The sequence below is a fragment of the Homo sapiens genome, chromosome 9, assembly GCF_000001405.40.
Source record: "Homo sapiens chromosome 9, GRCh38.p14 Primary Assembly".
NCBI lineage: Eukaryota > Metazoa > Chordata > Mammalia > Primates > Hominidae > Homo > Homo sapiens.
This window is the reverse complement of record NC_000009.12, coordinates 127644886-127665569: the sequence shown is the minus strand read 5'-3', so window position 1 is coordinate 127665569 and position 20684 is coordinate 127644886. Positions and strand designations below refer to the sequence as shown.

General features: G+C 44.5%; 1 protein-coding gene across 12 annotated transcripts in view, besides 2 other annotated features; it reads right to left on the bottom strand.

Annotated features, from left to right (window-relative positions):
* The window catches only part of STXBP1 (syntaxin binding protein 1), an 84118-nt gene that overhangs the window by 30460 nt on the left and 32974 nt on the right, over positions 1-20684 (bottom strand). For 11 of the 12 annotated variants that reach the window (NM_001374309.2, NM_001374314.1, NM_001374308.2 and 8 more), the window contains 7 exons: positions 13918-13967; positions 11774-11855; positions 7119-7195; positions 5462-5540; positions 4365-4468; positions 2217-2365; positions 239-323 (listed from right to left, as the gene is read on the bottom strand). In NM_001374309.2, the coding sequence (NP_001361238.1) occupies positions 239-323; positions 2217-2365; positions 4365-4468; positions 5462-5540; positions 7119-7195; positions 11774-11855; positions 13918-13962 (621 nt within the window). In that variant the 5' untranslated portion in view covers positions 13963-13967. The remainder of the gene's footprint in view (positions 1-238; positions 324-2216; positions 2366-4364; positions 4469-5461; positions 5541-7118; positions 7196-11773; positions 11856-13917; positions 13968-20684) is intronic. The other variant, NM_001374306.2, reaches the window with a different exon arrangement.
* Positions 3530-4348: an enhancer, noted in NCBI's record as "VISTA enhancer hs2342". NCBI's record gives its function as "enhancer in: neural tube[4/5] | forebrain[4/5]" and the evidence as "EXISTENCE:transgenic organism evidence [ECO:0001131][PMID:17130149]".
* Positions 14730-14859: an enhancer, noted in NCBI's record as "active region_29044". NCBI's record gives its function as "activates an Ori minimal core promoter by ATAC-STARR-seq in GM12878 lymphoblastoid cells {active_cell/tissue: GM12878}" and the evidence as "EXISTENCE:reporter gene assay evidence [ECO:0000049][PMID:35858748]".

Here is a 20684-nt window from a genome sequence, read left to right as displayed (position 1 = left end):
ATTCAGAGCTGCAACCAGGAAAGCCCTGGCAAACAGAACAAGTTGGTCACCCTGGCCACGATGAACACATGTAGATGGCCCTGCCCCAGGGGCTTCAGGCATTTCACTGGAAGCCAGTCCCCAGGAAAAGCAGCACTGACACATGCTCTGTGGCAACAGAACCAAGCTGTCTCTGGGACTGTCACACAAACACTGCGGTCCTTGGTAAAGAGAACCACGTGGTCCAAGCCAGACTTACCTCCCCCATTGTTGGATCATCAGCTTTATAGGCATCGAGCTTGTCCTGGATTAGCTGAGCCAGCAGGGCATTGTCCTTGTATTCCCTGACAAAGGAGGGGTGACAGAGCATGAACCACCCAGCACCCATGATGGTGCTGGCTGCCCCCGGGAAAGGAAGCCAAGCAGTGCAGCGGGGTTAGGGGAGATGTGAGCATTGTCTGTATTCGTGTTTTTACAATGAGAGTATAATTAGAAAGGAAAAGCAAAATAAAACACTTAGCTCAGTGCCTGGACCATAAGTAAGTGATTTTCTTATTGCTTTTATCCAGAATGATCTAAGTGGAAACAGATGTCTTTCCAAGCAGCTTCAGATAAACTGCCGCACTTCCACTGGGGGCCCTGACCAGTCAGTGAACCTTTTGCCACGATCAGGCTCCCAGCCTGACTCCCATGATTCTCACTTCCCTCAGTTCACATTCTCTTGGGTCTTGTTTTGTTGTGTTTGTTGGAGAGTGACATTTCAGCTGGCATGGCCAGAACAATGTGAGAACCTTTGAACCCTTCCCCATGGCTGGGTCTGACAGCACTCCCTGGGCCCCACCTGACCTGATGCTGGGGCGGCGGCTGCCTGCTTCCTGGCCAGTCTCAGCACTGCAGCAGCCCTGCTACCAGCCTGAGCTCCCACAGGTCAGTCAGGAGATGCCACCTAGGTCCCATTTCTTAACTGCCGGCTGGCTTTGTCCATGATTACCAACAGTGGAGGGAAGCCAGGCACTGGGACAGCAACCGGAAGGTGTTTTTCTATGGCCACAACTTCCAGGAGACAATGAGGTCACAGGATGGGTGAACCCATGATCCGTGGCACCACCAAGCTCTTGGTTACCACGGCACAATGCCTTGGCAGCCTAAGCCCTTCCTGCCCTACTACTAACCTGCTGGCAGTTCCGAATCCACCTCTGCACGCTCTCAGATTCTGTCCTTACCTGTCCACCCCGTTCCCATCACTCCAAGACCAGGCCCTTTGTTCCTCCTGCAGTGGCCTCCTGGTTAGCCACCCCTTCTGGTTTTTCCTTGCCCTGACTCCTGCTTATACTCCAGCCTTCACTCTCCCAGAGAACTGTGGTCATCCCCGTCCAAATCCCCCATAGGTTTCCAGTGATAACCACCGAAGGACATAATCCCAAACCTGTCATCCAAGACCTCCAGAATTGGCTTCATCCCACGCCACTGCCGTACACATACACTGTGCTGGACTACCCATCTTCCCCAAATGTGCCCCACATTTTCCCAACTCCCAAGTTTTTGTTTATACCAAATGCAAGAGCCAACTGTGCACACAAAATGCTGGCCTCTCTCTCCTCATGAGCCTATCGTCACCTGTGGTCTGCAGACGGGCTTCACCCTTGGCTCAAAGGGCCCTCTCCCTACTGTGGCTGTCCCCAGCACTTGGCCTGTCCTATCTCGCAGGGTCGAGCCTGCAGGGGTGCATCTCTCATGCACATACACGCTGGAAGGCACATCCCACCCATCCTCCCTGATCATGGGCTGGGTCTTCAGCTTCAGGTGCCCCCAGCACTCAGCAAGCAAGTGAGAAATGCGTGGCTTGATAAAATCTGAGGAACATGTCCTTTGGAGAATTACTCTCTTTGTATTTTATCTTACTCTGAAACATCTTTAGTAAAGATAGTATTTGTTTTTAAAGATTAGAAAGAAATTAAAAACGGTAGGCAGCCTGAGTTGCAGTTACATAGAGGTTCACATTTTCGTTATTCAATAGTTGATTTATGCTTTTTTCTGCATGTATTATTATATTTCACTATAACATTGAGAAGATAACAAAACCACTGGAAGAGTAATTTGAAGTAAGAGATGCTCAAATCCTGATCTTCTTGAGACAACTGTCAGAGGAACCTTAAGGCCGGAGGAGGAGTCCAGGCCAGCTCCTCACTTGGGGGACACACGGGAGGCCACTCCAGCAGACTGGTGCACTGCCTTACCCCCGATACCGCACAGCCGGGTACTCCTTCAGGGTGGCACAAAGGGTCGCGATCTGCTCTGCCAGGCGCTCCAGTATAGGATTCTTCATCTGAGCCTTGTGGGGACTGTAGAAGCTTTGGAAAGAGTCAGCAGAGTCCAAGGAATAGACCTGGGGAGGAGAAAAAGTATTAATACATATTGTGAACTATCAGAGTATTCTCTGACCCTGGCAGTGAGTCTACAGAATATGTTCCCGTTTCTTCCACAAATATGTACTGGGTGCCTACCATGTGCCCATGTGCTAAACACTTGGGAACTATTAGTGACCAAAACATCCATGTCCTCAAGGAGTTTGCAATCTAGTAGGAGAAAGCAGACAATAAACATAATGAAAAGTGAATTGTGTGGTCCTGAGAAACTGGCAAGTATATGAGAAAATATCAGAGCAGGGGAGGATGTCCAGGAGGGCTGGACAGGGAGGACACCAGGACTTGCTGAGAAGGTAACATCTGAGCAAGGGCTTGAAGGTGGGATGTTTACAGGGGACTTCCACATGGAGGGAACAGGCAGTGCCAAGGACCTTGGGCGGGTGTGTACCTAGGGTGCCTGGAGAACAGTGACAAGGCCAGGAGGAGAGCAGAAGGGATTAGTGTGAGACTACACTGGAAATTGTAAGCTTAGTTTCAATAAATAAGAGACAAGCCAGATACTGTGCTGTGACTGTGGGCAAATAAAGGAGCTATTTATGGATTTAATAATACCTTATCTTCAGTAGCATGTTCTAAGTATTTGTCTTTTCTTTCTTTCTTTCTTTTTTTTTTTTTGAGATAGAATCTTGCTCTGTTGCCCAGGCTGGGGTGCAGTGGCATGATCTCGGCTCACTGCAGGGTCCGCCTCCCGGGTTCACGCCATTCTCCTGCCTCAGCCTCCCAAGTAGCTGGGACTATAGGTGCCCGCTACCACGCCTGGCTAATTTTTTTGTATTTTTAGTAGAGATGGAGTTTCACCGTGTTAAACAGGATGGTCTCGATCTCCTGACCTCGTGATCCGCCCGTCTTGGCCTCCCAAAGTGCTGGGATTACAGGCGTGAACCATCATGCCTGGCCGTATTTGTCTCTTCTTTTTCTGTTTCTTTTTTTTTTTTTGGAGTATGCTAGAAGTTGAAGATTCTCTCTTAAATGACTGAGTCTTCCAGTTATCAGTATTCTCTTAAATTCTCGTTTATATAAACTACCTTAATCTTAAAAAATGGTATTCGAAAAATAGTTTACTTTCTTAAAATTTCTGAAATATAAGATTGTTCAATATGCTAAAGCTGGATTTTGTTCTATCCAGGTGGGGATGGAACACACAGAAGAAAAAAAAATTCCTTCCCCCAAGCGGGTGACAGGCTTTAGGCCAAGTGAGAAGGAAGCCTGTTTTTAAATGTTCACACTATATATTATGCATCTCTCCTTCTCTAAGAATAGGTCACTCTCTGGTGTCTCGAAGCTGATCTGTAAAGATCCAATATGCCACAATCATCTTTTAGCTCCGTAAAATGCATCAAAGTCCTGTGGTTTTTGTTTCCTTGTCTGGTAAGAGAAGACATTTTAACAACTCTCAAAATACCGAGACAAGTTGTGTCTGTTCTCTCACAATCAGCTTCACCTTTATTTGTTTAATAATTTTGTTTGTTTCCAAGGGAGTGCTTTATGGGCCTGGCATTTGGCACCTGAAGTGTTAACGGCTAATGACGAAGGCTGCCATCTGCTCTCTCAGCACATGACAAGCTGAGGTTATCTCCACGTAAAAAACAGTCTCCTTCGCAGCAGATGGGATGCTTCTGCTCCCCACCCTCGCTCTCCTTCCAAGCTCGTTTCTGATTGGCTACTTAGTGGTTATTCAAGGAGTCGGCCGACAGGAGTGAACACTGAGAGCAAGGATGAAATGCACACAAAGAAAGGCACAAGGCTGAAGCAAAGTCAGAAACAACTGGAGAGTAAGATGAGGGCAGGGGGCAGGCCCTATGGAATACTATTTCCATTCAGTAAACATCCACTTCTAACCTGTCATTTGGCAATTCAGAGCATGGTACCTTCCCTCCTCAACTCTTTAGTAGGTCCCACCCCACCCTCTCAGAATAAGACAGGATGCAGATTTCCTTTGCACCCCCTACTCAGGCTCACCTGGGATTCATACGGGAGAAATGCAATATTGATTTCCGTCAGAGTTTTGATGACTTTGGCTGCTCGGGATTTTACCAGTTCATTAAACAGGGCATCTGGACAAGCTGCAAGTATGACAAAAGACAGTTGGCTTTCCTGTCCATTTGCTGGTTCATTTAACAGCTGCACATGTACAGTGGGCTCTTCATTTTATCAGGATTTTTTTTTTTTTTTGGATGGAGTCTCATTCTGTCACCCAGACTGGAGTGCAATGGCGTGATCTTGCTCACTGCAACCTCTGCCTCCTGGGTTCAAGCAATTCTCCCACCTCAGCCTCCCGAGTAGCTGGGATTATAGGCACCTGCTGTCATATCCAGCTAATTTTTGTATTTTTGTAGAGATGGGGTTTCACCATGTTGACCAGGCTGGTCTCGAACTTCTGATCTCAGGTGATCCACCCGCCTAGGCCTCCCAAAGTGCTGGGATTATAGGCGTGAGCCACCACACCCGGCCAAAATCCTTCTTCTGCTATATCCTTTCCACTTTCTCAGTGGTGAGTGCTGTGGGAGTTTATCCCTAGAGAGAAGATCTCTGGGTGAATTCTTACTGTTTTATACTCTGTAGCTGTCCAGGTCAATTCATCTCCCTCTGCTTCTCCGCTAGGATCTGAGCATAAAATCCTCAAAACATAAGAAAACTAATTCTAGGGTAATGATGCAGATTCTATCTAATACAAAGACTACTGGATTGGAATATCTTTGTAGTTGAAAAATTGATGGAAACATACTACAGCATACAGTGCTAACTGGAAGTCTACATAATGAAATGCCAAGCCTCAGGAAGGTCATTCTCAGCACCAAGCCTGTCAGTCCTGAGAAGAGGTGCTTGTGTGCTATTTTTCAGCAGGAAGGACTGCATGATCTAGTGGGTTTGTATTTGCGTGCACTTATTTTTGTCTCTTATGCAATTTATCTTCTGAAGAGAAACCAGCAGATCGGGACAAGCATGGTAACAACCCATTTCTTCCCTCTTGACCTGCCTTAGTTTTGGCTCAGCCCAGCTGTACAGAAATGCTAACCTGCCTGATGGGACTGGGGACAGCTCTTGGTTGTACTCACAGTCAGTGAAGAAGACGTGTGCAGCCCGGTATTTAGCAGTCGGCGGGTCCTTAAAGTCACTGATGAGAGAGTGGACGGACTGTGGATGGGGGGGAAAAAGAGGGACCTGAATCCAATTCTAGAGCCAAATGGGACCTGTATCTGAACTGAGTTAAATCCAATGGCTTCAAGCCACTTGCACAAAATCAGGGGATTTTTGATGCATAATTCTAACACTCATGTTTGGCCATAACCAAGTCCTGAGGACTTAAAATTAGTACTATTTCAGAGTTTAGATGAACAAAGGCCTTCTTAGCTCATTCTGGAATGACAGTATCAGTTCTTTGGAGCCACTGTAATTAGTTGTTAGGAAGACACCCACAAAAAAGGAAACCCGGCAGAAACCTTCCAGGAGATTCATATTGATGACCTTTTGGCAATTTAATTGCATCTGTAGAAATTCATATGTAAGCCAGTTTTCAAAGTGAAAAAAAAAAGTGTGAAAATTGGAGGAAATTTATATAGACTAAGACACCTAAGGCTGGCATGGTGGCTCACAACTGTAATCCCAACACTTTGGGAGGCCAAGGCAGGTGGATCACTTGAGCTCAGGAGTTTGCCACTAGCCTGGGCAACATAGCAAGATCTCCATCTCTACCAAAAATTAGCTGGGCATGGTGGCATGTGCCTGTAGTCCCAGCTGTTTGGGAGGCTGAGGTGGGAGGATCACTTAAGCCCCGGAGGTCGGGGCTGTAGTGAACTGTGATCACAACACTGCACTCCAGCCTGGGTGATGGAGAGAGACCTGTCTCAAAAAAAAAACAAAAAAAAACAAAAACAAAAACAAACAAACAAAAAACAACAACAACAACCCAAAAAAACAAAAAAGGCTGAGAGTGGTGGCTCATGCTTGTAATCCCAGCACTTTGGGAGACCAAGACAGGTAGATCACTTGAGGTCAGGAGTTCGAGACCAGCCTGGCCAACATGGTGAAACCCTGTCTCTACCAAAAATACAAAAATTAGCTGGGTGTGGCGGGGGGGTGCCTGTAATCCCAGCTACTTGGGAGGCTGAGGCAGGAGAATCTCTTGAACCTGGGAGGCAGAGGTTGCACTGAGCCGAGATCGTGCCACTGCACTCCAGCCTGGGCAACAGAGCTAGACTTCGTCTCAAAAAACAAAACAAAACCAACAAAACAAAACAAAAGAAAACATGCCTAAGACAACTATTACCCAGAAGCAAGGAGTTGGACCTTGTTTGGATAGTGATTTGAAGTAACCTCCAAAATTATAAGACAGGTAAATGTGAACAGTAACTGGATATTGATAAAATAAAATGAAAGCATAAAATACCAAAGTCTGGAGGTGGACTGCTAATTAGACAGAGTGGGTCCTACCTGAAGAGGGAGTGCAAGGGGGAAAACTAGAATGATCCAGGGCCACGGAACACAGGCTCTGGTTTTCTGCACAGCTGCTGTGTTTAAGAACGCTTAATACATTCATCACTTCTCACTGCATAAACACCACCCCCGACCCCACCCCATTGTGGATTGCATGCTTAAACAGAGCAGTGTGTTAAATGCGTGCTTAACCTAGCAATGTCAGACAGTCTGTGCCACATAAATCCCAAGCCAGTCCATCTAACCTTAGCCAGAGTCCTCCTCTGGTGGAAGGTTTACCTTCTCGGATGGAGTGATGAGATACACAGCCTCCAGGCTGGGGAGCGGCTCTCTGCGCTTATTGATATCTTCCACAACTAGACAACAAAACAACCCACAGTGAATAAGAAAACATGATGGGTGACCATAAAACCAGAAGCAATATAGACAGGCTACCTTCAGACTGTTGCAGATAAATATCTACAGTGGGGGACCGGGGGGAATCATTCACTCATTCCTTAAGGTTACCACGTTCCTTGGGAGTGAATTCCATGGTCTCAACATGCCCAAGATGTTAGAATCTGAAATCTGGGCTGGGCATGGTGGCTCATGCCTGTAATCCCAGCACTTTGGGAGGCTGAGGTGGGCACATCACTTGATGTCAGGAGTTCAAGACCAGCCTGGCCAACATGGTGAAACCTCATCTCTACTAAAAAACTACAAAAATTAGCCAGGCATGTTGGAATGTGCCTATAATTCCAGCTACTCAGGAGGCTGAGGTGGGAGAATCGATTGAACCTGGGAGGTGGAAGCTGCAGTAAGCCAAGATAGTACCACTGCACTCCAGCCTGGGTGACAGAGTGAGACTCCATCTCAAAAACAACGACAAAAACAACAACAAAGAAAAATCTGAAATCTTCACACTAGATAGTTCTCACTTCCCATTTCAGTTTAAGTAAATTCATTGATCTGTTCTGAGAGAAAATGGAAAATGATATCTAATTCTGTCAAGAATGGGTCCTTTGCCTCTTCTTCAGCTTTGTCTCATCTGCCCTAGATAATCCCAATTCCTTTGGAATTTCCATGTTGGGTTTATTTATCAACAGCTGGATAGTTTCATTGCTCTCCTCTGCATATCAAATGAGGGCATTCCAACCACATTCTCTATACAATATTGCTTCCTTCAATAGTGCAAAGATTAAATGTTCTATTTGGTTAAAACAAACCATAGGCTTTGGTTTGCTTGTTTCCTCTACAGTTATGTCAGGGACTTCACCTGGAAAGAACAGCTTTTGGGAGAATCTTACCAATCACCCGGTAATGCTTAAAATGTGTTACCTACTGTCCTCTGGCATTGAGAGAGCAAGGCAATTATACAGGTGCCATTCTTTCTATGCAGATCATTTAAGCAGATAAAAGCATCACTTTAGAGGATTGTAACATTTATAAAGACTTGGAATATTTATAAAGACTTTCACCTTAAATAATGTTCAAATTAATACCAAAAATCCCCAAACATCTACTTTACCAGTGGTTATAGATTTGTTTAATTTCATAGGCCACTAATATCTCCCCCCAAAATGTTTCAGAGCTTCAACATAGGGTTGCTAACTTTTAAATTTTGTTAAGTAAGAACACTTTTTCTTTCCTTCTTTCTTTCTTTTTCTTTTTGAGACAGTCTTGCTCTGTCGCCCAGGCTGGAGTGCAGTGGCACAATCTTGGCTCACTGCAACCTCCACCTCCCAGGTTCAAGTGATTCTCCCACCTCAGCCTCCTGAGTAGCTGGGACTACAGGCACGTGCGACCATGCTTGGCTAATTTTTGTATTTTTAGTAGAGACAGGGTTTCACTCTGTTGGACAGGCTGGTCTCAAATTCCTGACCTTGTGAGCCGCCTGCCTCTGCCTCCCAAAGTGCTGGGATTACAGGTGTGAGCCACCATGCCCGGCCATAAGGACATTTTTTAAAAACCACTTTTGGGGGTAGGCAAGAGTCTGTGTATAGTGGAGAGCTCTGAATCCCCATCTCCCACAGGAAGTCAGTTAATAATATCTAATATCACTGAATCAAGAGAAAATAGAACAAGCATTTATGTAGAAAAATAAAAAAGATGTCCAGAATGAAGGGCGAGGTGGCTGCCTCTGGGGTAATAGACCCCGAGGATGGGAGATAGGAGGACAGGAGGTCACTGCTCTTTTCTTAGATCCTTGTTAGCTCCATTTAGTGTTTTTCTCCTTTACTTTTGTGTTTTTTGTCTGTTTTTGCTTTGATAGACGAAAAAAATAGTTTCAAAAATTCAATGAAGAAAATAACATCATAAACTCAAAATAGGGGCAAGCCTAGTCTTAAAACTGACTTGGGGCAGGGCACAGTAGCTCACGTCTGTAATCCCAGCACTTTGGGAAGCCAAGGCGAGCAGATAACTTGGGGCCAGGAGTTCAAGACCAGCTTGGCCAACATGGTGAAACCCTGTCTCTACTAAAAAAAAAAAAAAAGAAAGAAAATAGCCGGGTGTGCTGGCGCCTGCCTGTAATCCCAGCTACTCGGGAGGCTGAGGCACGAGAATTGCCCGAATCCCAGAGGCAGAGTTTGCAGTGAGTCAAGATTGCACCACTATACTCCATCCTGGGCAACAGAGCAAGACTCTGTCTCAAAAACAAACAAACAAAAAACACACTGACTTAGGTCACTAAATGACATAAAAGTCACATAAAAAATTGTGTATGTGTGCCAAGTGCAGTGGCTCACTCCTGTAATCCCACCACTTTGGGAGGCCGAGGCAGGTGGATCACTTGAGGTCAGGAGTTCGAGACCAGCCTAGCCAACATGGTGAAACCCTGTCTCTACTAAAAATACAAAAATTAGCCAGGCGTGATGGCAGGTGCCTGTAATCCCAGCTACTTAGGAGGCTGAGGCAGGATAATCCCTTGAACCCAGGAGGCAGAGGTTGTGGTGAGCTGAGATTGCGCCACTGCCCTCCAGCTTGGGAGACAGCAAGACTCTGTCTCAAACAAACAAACAAACAAAAAAACTGTGTATGCCATTTACAGGACTGTGCTTCTGCTGATAGATATACTGGATCTGTTTTTTAAAAATGAAGGAATCACATCCACGTGCAACCAAAATGAATACAGACACATACATTATACCCTTTAGAAATGTTAACTCAAAATGGATCACAGACCTAAATGTAAAATGCGAAATTATAAAATTCCTAGAGGATTACATAAAAGAAAAGCTAGGTGTCCTTGGATTTGGCAATGACTTTTTAGATATGACACCAAAGTGACAATCCATGAAAACAAGAATTGATAAGCTGGACTTCATTAAAATTAAAAAGTACTGCTCTGTGCAAGATGCCATCAAGAGAATGAAAAGACAAGCCACAGACTGAGGGCAAATATTTCCAAAAGACATATCTGATAAAGAACTGTTATCCAAAATATACAAATATCCCTTAAAATTCAACAATAAGAAAACAAATAACCCAATTAAAAAACGGGCCAAAGACCTTACAGACACTGTACCAAAAAACAATATACAGATGGCAAATAAGCATGTGAAAAGATGCTCCACATCCTAGGTCATCAGGGAAATGCAAATTAAAACAACAATACCATACCACCACACAGCTGGTAGAATGCTCAAAATTCAGAACACTGACAACTCCAAATGCTGGTAAGGATGTGGAGCAACAGGAATTCTCATTCACTACTGCTGGGAATGCAAAATGGTCAGCCACTTTGAAAAATGGTTTGGCAGTATCTTACAAAACTAAGCATACTTACCATGTGATCCAGCAATCCTGCTCCTTATTATTCACCAAAAGTTATAGCACACATTCCAAAGCGTGAATAAAACATAAACATACAAATAACCATAAGGCAAATGTCTAAATAAGCGCTACCCCAGTTAAGAAACGAAACCCAATCAGCACCACAAAAGTGCCCTGGCTCCAGCTCACATTCCCCTCTATCAACACCATTTCCTCTCTTCCCCGCAAACAGAATCATTATCCTCCCTTGAATGGTGAGCTCTTCTCTTGAGGTTTTACCCCTTACATCTGCATTTTAAAACAACACAGCTGAGCTCTGCGGTCTGAACTCTGTGGAATGAAGGCTCACTATCAGTGGTCTTTCGTGTCTTGCTGTCTTTGCTCACCGTTGTTCATCAGATGCATTCATGTTACTGTGAGCGCTCAGGGCTCGCCCATTTTCATCCCTGTAGAGTATTCTACTGTGTAATTGCACGCAACTGATTTAACCATTCTACACTTGATGGACGTTTTGGTTATTTTCCACTTGGGGAACCTATGAGCAACACTGCACATGTATTCCTGCACATGTATCCTGGGCACACATACCTGAGGTTGTCTAGGACACACACCTGACCACAGACTTGCTGGCTCACAGGACATGCATACCTTCAACTTTACTAGACACTGCCAAGTGGTTTTCAAAGGGGCTACACCAGCAGACATTCCATCACGTAGGAGTTTCCATTTTTCTACCTCCTCACCGTCACTTGGCATTATCAGAGATTAAATATTCTAATATTTTGAATCTATATCGGCATCTCACTCTGGTTTGAATTGCATTTCCCTGACCACTAATGACAGTGGACAATTTTCATAGATTGATTGGCCATTTGGATTTCTTCTTTTGTTAAGTGCCTGCTCAGAACTTTTTTCTATTGGGTGGGCTGCCTTTTCTTTCTTGATTTAACCCTTCTTTTGGCATTCCTTTAACAGACATTGAATGAGCATCTAGCCCTGGATTTGGTGCTAGGGATTCAGTGATGAACAAGATAGCCTTGCGCCTCTCAGGAGCTTCTGGTCTTAGCACACAGGTTGCTGGAAGAATCTAAAATCAAAGGAGATAATAATGAATAGGAAAGAGCTAAGCCCGCCACAGAGAGAAGGCTCCAGCACTGCTCAAGTGCAGAGCGCATGCTCACTCGTTATGCCCTCGGTCATGATGTCTGTCATCTTGCAGCAGGAGGACAGCATCCTCATGCTTAACTGATCCACCACCAGCACCTGCAAGGAAAGAGAACAGCGTATGGGCTTCATGGCATCTGCTGTGATTCTCGCTCAGCTTACCGCATCAGACTCCAAAAGGAGCTCCAGAAGTACAGAATACAGAAGAAACCATATTTCCTATGGACCAGAAGCCCACGGGGACACATGCTCACTTGTACCTCCCATACCCTAACCTAACTTTCTAGGAGTTAGAGTTTCCTCTCACTGATGTAATTTTATAAACTTAAAAAAAAATAGTTTTTATTTCCCATGACAAAGTAAATACCCATTTAAAAAAGGAAAAAAAATCAGTCGGGCATGGTGGCTCATGCCTGTAATCCCAACACTTTGGGAGGCTGAGGCGGGTGGATCACTTGAGGTCAGGAGTTCAAGATCAGCCTGGCCAACATGGTGAAACCCCGTCTCTACAAAAATTAGCCAGGTGTGGTGACTCACACCTGTAATCCCAGCTACGTGAGAGGCTGAGGCAGGAGAATGTTTGAACCCAGGAAACGGAGGTCGCAGTGAGCCGAGATCGCGCCATTGTACTCCAGCCTGGGCAACAGCAAGATCCCATCTCATAATAATAATAATAATAATAATAAATAAATAAATAAATAAATAAATAAATAAAGGAAATATCATCTATAGCTCCAACATTCAGACATAATCATATTAGTGAGTACTTTTTCACGGCATGCACTTGTGTTTAAGGGGAGAGTGAACACTAGCGCCTGCACATGTGGTCTGGCATGTGGGGACTTGATGAAAAGCATCATCAGAACTGTGCCACTAACACACATGTCAGCTGGGACATAGTGTACCTTAGTCTAGGCTGGAAGAACAAGAACGTTCCAGTCCTGGCCTAAAAGCTTCAGACCTGCAACTCTTCAGCTAACCTTTCTTATCTTCATTCAGCCCACAGTGGAGAGGAAGCTGGCAGTTAAAACAAGGCTATTTATCCTCTCTTTTTGTAATGCTATAAACTGAGAAGGGGGCAACAGGAGGAAGACACATCAGGGCAGATAGTGTGGATGAGAAAGCTTTCTGCTGCAGTACAGGGGTCAATTAGTTTTTATTATATAAGGCAGCTTCCTCAAGATTAGTTTAAAATTCACATGTCTACAAGCCCGTCACTGATGGGAAGGGTAAGTGAGAAAGGTATGCTAAAGAGGTATGCTAAAGGTATGCGGTGGGGAGGCCCACTGCACGGCCTCCCCTTCTGGGTGGCGAGGACAGATGTGCTGGTTAAAACAAAGGCCCCGGGTGAGACTTCAAAATCCTCCTGTACTAATCAGCTCTGTTGTTCCTAGGCCCAATGCACTTGAAACTGCATGGGCTTTTGACTGCAGGAAACCTTGATGGCAAGAAAGGTTGGTATAAATTCTTCAGCAACATGCAGAAAAAATCAAGTAAAACTGCACACTCTTCTGGCCAGTATAATTCTCAGCCTTAGACAACCAAGCAGTCCTTAAAATGCTGACTTCATGCATAGGGGGCAGCAGGTGCCACTCCTGTACCACCCATTCCAGGAACCCGGCCCACTCTCAGTTTGATTGGCTTAAATACTTGTTTCAAGTACACTATAGTTTCCAGCACTCCTGTCAATGTTACGTGATTAAACGAGCTTACTATTTTTGTCTTATGTAGTTACAGTTCAATGAGGATAGACCAGATGAGGGCTTTGAGCCCAAACTGTACATGGACTCCATGGAGATGCTTTATGGCCACAAAGGGGCAAGAGGGCCTCTTCTTCCTCTCCCAGAGCCAGCAGAATTATACCTTCCTCTGCTTTATCTAACGGGTTCCAGGTAATATTTTGTTTGAACAAAAGAGTTCCACTGCTAACTGCCTGACCAGGTGGTCTTTAAGATAAGCTTTATGACAAACAGAATTCTTAACCAAGACCATATGAAATGTGAGGCAGAGCAGATCACCTTTCTCCAATCCAGGAGCATTCTGTACTCTCTGGACACAGCAAAAGCCCTCATTCCTGCCTACAACTTTCCTCCAACTCCATCCCCTTCTGATTTTTCCATGTGAACTCACCTTAAGCCCATTAACTGTACTTTCTACTCACCTTCCATTCCCCCTTCTTCTTGACCTTCTTTATCACATCATGCATAATCTCTAAAAAAGGAGAAAGAGAGAGAGAGAGAGGAAATTAATGTAATATCAAAGACGTCTACACCTCTCTGTTAGATAAGGTCATTTCCCACCTTAGGCTTTGTGTTTCTGAATCATGCAATTCACCAACTGGTTTACTGAGCCATAACCAACCCACCATAAAAATAGCTCTCAGCCGGGCATGGTGGCTCACACCTGTAATTGGTGCTAGGGATTCAGTGATGAACAAGTTAGCACTTTGGGAGGCTGAGGGGGCAGATCACCTGAGGTCAGGAGTTCGAGACCAGCTTGGCCAACATGGGGAAACCCCATCTATACTAAAAATACAAAAATTAGCCAGGCATGGTGGTGCATGCCTGTAATCCCAGCTACTCGGGAGCTGAGGTTGCAGTGAGCCGAGATCACACCACTGCACTTCAGCCTGGGTGACAAAGCAAGACTCTGTCTCAAAAATTGAAAAAAAAAAAGAAAGTTCTCTTCCTGTCTCCTTAATTCAGTGGTTTTCAAACTTTTTGGTCTCATAACTTCTTTACGCTCTTAATTATTGTATTGGAAACTAAACTGAGAAATTTTTAACAATATTAATTCATTTAAGATAATAAACTCATATGTTACATTAATTGCATTTTAATGAAAAATAAATATATTTGTCATAATAAAACATTTTTAGGGAGACAGCTGGGATTGTTTTACATTTCTGCAACCCTCCTTAATGTCTGGCCTCATAGACATTCTCCTGTCTACTTCTGGCTTCTCCCATCTGCTTCTGCAGCCAGTATGTCCTGAAACATATAACATCTGGGAAACTTCGCTGTGCCCCGTGAGAGAATGAGAATGAAGAGGCAAACCACATCTTGGTCTTAGTATGAAGATAGTTTTGACCTCATGAACCCCCAGAAGGGCTCAGATTTGAGAACCACTGCCTAAAGTTAAGTGGGTAAAGGCTGTGACAATGCCTCAGGCCACATGAGCCCTCCTCAAGCTCTAAAAACAGATGTGAGGAGCAGTTGTGAAATGTTCAAAACCCTGAGCACATCTCCAGAGCACTCTTATCCCCAAATCACCATTTTAATGAGCCCCGTTACCTAGACCACCACACACACACACACACACACACACACACACACACACACACACACACCTGACCAGCTGTGGAGGCTCCATAGGAAAGTCCACTCTTGCTACTCTGTAAACCTGAGTAACACACACCTGGAGCAACTTGAAGGGCAAGAGCTGTTGTCAGCATGTATGGTTCAGACAGTTAGACAATTCTCTAGGGCTCGATGGTTCCTAAATCTGCTTTTGACTATCTTCAGTAATCACTGAATCACAGTAATCACATACACACACACACACACACACACACACACACACACACACACACACACACAGCAGTAAACTTGGAAAACACAGAAAAGTATAAAGGAAAAATTCTGGCCAGGCACAGTGGCTCACACCTGTAATCCCAGCACTTTGGGGGGCCGAGGCGGGTGGATCACCTGAGGTCAGGAGTTCGAGACCAGCCTTACCAATATGGTGAAACCTCATCTCTACTAAAAATACAAAAATTAGTTGGGCATGGTGGTGTGCACCTGTTATACCATCTACTCAGGAGGCTGAGGCAGGAGAATTGCTTGAACCCAGGAGGTGAAGGTTGCAGTGAGCCAAGATTACACCACTGCACTCCAGCCTGGGTGACAGACCCAGAGCCAGACTCCATCTCAAAAAAAAAAGAAAAGAAAAAATTCAATGTATTACTCATGTGCTTAAAAAACAATCAGGCCAGGCACGGTGGCTCATGCCTGTAATCCCAGCACTTTGGGAGGCCAAGGTGGGTGAATCACGAGGTCAGGAGATCGAGACCATCCTGGCCAACATGGTGAAACCCCGTCTCTACTAAAAATACAAAAATTAGCTGGGCATGGTGGTGCATGCCTGTAATCCCAGCCACTTGGGAGGGTGAGGCAGGAGAGTCACTTGAACCAGGGAATCGGAGGTTGCAATAAGCCAAGATCGTGCCACTGCACTCCAGCCTGGTGACAGAGCGAGATTCTGTCTTAAAATAAAAAAGATAACGGCCGGGCGCGGTGGTTCATGCCTGTAATCCCAGCACTTTGGGAGGCCGAGGAGGGTGGATCACGAGGTCAGGAGATTGAGACCATCCTGGTTAACATGGTGAAACCCCGTCTCTACTAAAAATACAAAAAATTAGCTGGGCGTGGTGGCAGGTGCTTGTAGTCTCAGCTACTCAGGAGGCTGAGGCAGGAGAATGGCGTGAACCCGGGAGGCGGAGCTTGCAGTGAGCTGAGATCGTGCCACTGCACTCCAGCCTGGGCGACAGAGCAAGACTCCGTCTCAAAAAAAATAAAAAAAAAAATAAATAAATAAATAAAAAAGATAAAAACAAAACAAAACAAAACAATCAGGCCGGGCGCGGTGGCTCACACCTGTAATCCCAGAACTTTGGGAGGCTGATGGGGGCGGATCACTTAAGGTCAGGAGTTCGAGACCAGCCTGGCCAACATGGTGAAACCCTATCTCAAATAAAAATACAAAAAAATTAGCCAGATGTGGTGATGCGCACCTGTAATCCCAGATACTCAGGAGGCTGAGGCACCAGAATCGCTCGTACCCAGGAGGCAGAGGTTGCAGTGAGCCAAGATCTAGCCACTGCACTCCAGCCTGGATGACAAAGTGAGACTTTGTCTCAAAAAAAAAAAAAAAAAAATCTAAAAGAAAAATTATCTGTAATCATGTCAACTTGAAATGCATAATTAACATTTTAGTTTTATTTCATACTAGCTTTTTCTATGCACTTTTACATAGTTAAGATCATGTTGGCCACGTGCGGTGGCTCATGCCTGTAATCCCAGCACTTTGGGAGGCCAAGGCAGGCAAATCACTTGAGCCCAGGAGTTCGAGACCAGGTTGGACAACATGGTGAAACCCCATCTCTACAAAAAATACAAAAATTAGCCAGTCATGGTGGCATACACCTGTAGTCTTAGCTACTCAGGAGGCTGAGGTAGTGGGACTGCTTCAGTGAGAGGCAAAGTTGCAGTAACCCAAGATCATGCCACTGTACTCCAGCCTGGGTGACAGAGGGAGACTCTGACTCAAAAAAAAAAAAAAATCATGCTGTAGATATATAATTTTATATTATGCTTTTTTCACTTAATGTACTCAACTCACCCATTTTAATAAAAACACTTTCTAGGATTTTAAGGCCTGAATAATTGTTCATGGTCAACAATATTCCCAATAGCCATTTAGATTACTTCGCATGTTTCAGTGTAGTGAAAAACTAGAAACCAATATATCCATAATAGGGCAGTGGTTAACTTAATTAGGTTACATTTGTACAATGGAATACTATGAACCCATTGGAAATAATAATTTGGGAAAATATGTACTCATTCTTTCAGGCTTTCACTCAATAAACATTTGTTGAGTAACCACTACTTGCCAGCCATTGTGCTAAACCCTGCGAATGAACAAGATACTGTGCTGCTCAGCTCCTGTGGAGCTGCTGCTCTAGGGAAGGAGGCGGCCACTAACTGAAAAGAGCAATTGCATCTTCTCATAAGTGCTCCGAATTAAATAAATAAGGTGCTACGATTTTTTAAAAGGGTGTGGGCAGCCTACTTAAATAGGGGGTCAGGCAAGGCCACTCTAAGCAAGTTGGACCTGACGAGGAAGAAGTCAGCCAAGAACTAGGAAAAGGAGAAGGAACAGTACAAAGTCTTGTGGAAAAAGGAAAATGAGATTGACATTTTCTGGGAACTGAAGATGATATACGCTGAGGTTGGAGGCCGGATCATACAGAGCCTCGTGGTCTTTGATAAGGAGTATGATTTTATCTGAAAGGCATTGGAAAGCCATGGAAGGTAAGGATGTAATCTGATGTGCTACAGAGAGACAAGAAGGAGGGGGCAAGAATGGAAGCAGGGGGTGGAGTCAGGAGGCCTTTCCAACAGTCCAGGCATGACAGTGGCAGAGGAGATGGTGAGAAGTGGGCAGATTTGATATACACTATGGAGGTAAAACCAACAGGGCTAGCTGATACACTGGATGTGGCAGAAAAGAAAAGAAACATAACCAACTCCCAGATTTTTGGTTTAAGCCAAGAAATTGATGTAGCATTCAGAGAGTTTGAGAGGAAGGAGAACTGGTCTGTAGAACATCAGGAGTTCTATTTTAGTTGTTTTAAGATTGAGATGGCTAAGACACATTCAAGGGAAGACGCTGAATAGGTAGCTAGAGTTAGCTCTTGGGCTTGGAAGCACAGCCTCAGCTGGAGTGAAACACTGGGGACTTATCAAATAGAGGCAGGAGGGAAGGCTGCAGAAAATGACTCTGACAGGAGCAGTGAGATGGATGGACATGGTCTTTGTGGACCTTGACGAGCGTTTCAGTGAAATAATAAGAATGAAGCCAGACTAAAATGGGAGAGGAGGAAGACAAGACAGACAACAACTCTTAAGAAGTTTTGCTTTGGCCGGGCGTGGTGGCTCACACCTATAATCCCAGCACTTTGGGAGGCCAAGGCGGGTGGATCATGAGGTCAGGAGTTCGAGACCAGCCTGACCAACATGGTGAAACCCTGTCTCTACCAAAAATACAAAAATTAGGTGGCGGGCCTGTAGTCCCAGCTACTCGGGAGGCTGAGGCGGCAGAATCGCTTGAACCCGGGAGGCGGAGGTTGCAGTAAGCCAATTCTCGCCACTGCACTCCAGCCTGGTGACAGAGCAAGACTCTGTCTCAAAAAAAAAAAAAAAAACAAAAAACAAAAATTAGCCGGGCGTGGTGCCGCGTGCCTATAATGCCAACTACTCAGGAGGCTGAGGCAGGAGAATCGCCTGAACCTGCGAGGTGGAGTTTGCAGTGAGCCGAGATCGTGCCACTGCACTCCAGCCTGGGTGACAAAAAAAAAAAAAAAGGAGTTTTGCTTTAAAAGGTAGCAGAGAAAAGGCATAAAAACTAACAGGGTAGATAAAGACATGGATGCAAGGGTAGGATTTGTTTGTTTTTAAAGATGTGAAAGATTATAGCATTTTTAGTGATGCTGGCAATAAGTCAAAAGGGAAGGGGAGAGTGACGATGCAGGAGAGAGGATGGAGTAATGAAAGACTGAGGTCCCTGAGGAAGAGGGAGGAGTTGGAGCTGAGATACAAGAGGAAAGCTTGACCTGGGACAGGAGGCATCCTGTGTGAAGGAGAGGAAAGCCACAGATGGGCTTGGAGACACGGTGGCAGAGGTGAGGGGTTTCCCTGTTGGAGATGAAGTCATTGGCTAAGAGTGGGGAAGGGGTGTTATATATGGAAGCTTTGAAGAAAGAAGGTATCATATATCTTCCCAGAGATTGGGAAAGTCAATTTACTGTGGAAATGTTTTAGCATTTACAGACAGTACTAAGGACTAATTTGATGGTCATGACTGTGAATTTAAAGTTAAACCAGGCAGCTTAGTAATGTTTTTTCCCAATAATGTTCGGCTGTCCAGGTGCAAGAAAGGAAGGCTGGTTTCAACTAAGGTTAGAGTTTTCATATATGAGTACAAACGAGGAAGAAAATGCTCAAAATATATGGCTAAGGGTGAAAAAAGCATGCTACAACTATTTTTAAAGCAGATATGCATAGGAAAATTAGAAAAACTCATACCAAAAGCTTATTTTTGTGCAATAAATTTATAATTAACCTTTACTTGCCAATTTGTGCCTTCCAATGTTGTCCCAAGCTTTCTGCATAAGAAAAATGCTCTCAAAATAATGTGTCAGCGACCATCTTTGTGGCCAGGGCTTTTCTTAGCACAAATTATTCCGTTAGGGTAGCTTTCTGAGTATGGAATAAGTTGGTAAAACATCTAAATGTTCTGGGGTCCTGATAAACTCTGCTGAATTACTTTCCAAAATTATGTCTCCCACCCTCATCAGTACTATGTGGCTCTCCAAATTAACATACTAACTGATAAAATATCTTGAGGTTTACTTATTTTAATCTTTGCCACAATGACAGCAGAAAACAGTATAGTTCACTCTTTATTTGAATGTATTATATTATTGAGGATGAATATATTTTCTTGCCACTAAAAATTAATATAAATTCACTGAAAAAAATTACACTTAAGTTGCCTTTTGATAGGGAAAGGCAGAGATATAATCAAAAGATAAAACCAAGTACTACAAGTGTTAAAAGACACATATAAATTACCACTGCAGCTGCCACCATTCCTAGGAAGTTATTTCCTTTCCAAAGTTCTCAGGGCATATGTTTGTCCTGGGTATTGTTAACAGCCAATTCTAATCCTGCCCTACATTTTTCTAATCCAATACTGAAAAGGAAACAAGGATTAGAGCTCAGTTTAGCATTAAGAATCAAGTAGCTTGGGCTACCTCCTCACAATCCCTGGCAATCTCATTTCATCTCCTTCCTAAGTCCTCTTCATGTGGAGAGAAACAATGAAGACTTCTGAAGTGGGTCCAGCCAGGAGGTCTTACTTCCGCATACCAAACCATGTGTATCTACAGCCAAATGCCTGCTCCACCACCCAGCTAGTCTACGGGGATGTGTTTAAAAGACCGGAGCAGCTTCAGTTCCTCCGTAATACTGAAGACCCTGGTGGACTCTGCTTCCCTCATGGCCAAATGAGTAAGAAAGCAGGTCCCTTCTCAACCACATCCTCTAGGTCCTGGGTGACTCCCAACCTTGGCAAATCTCTGCC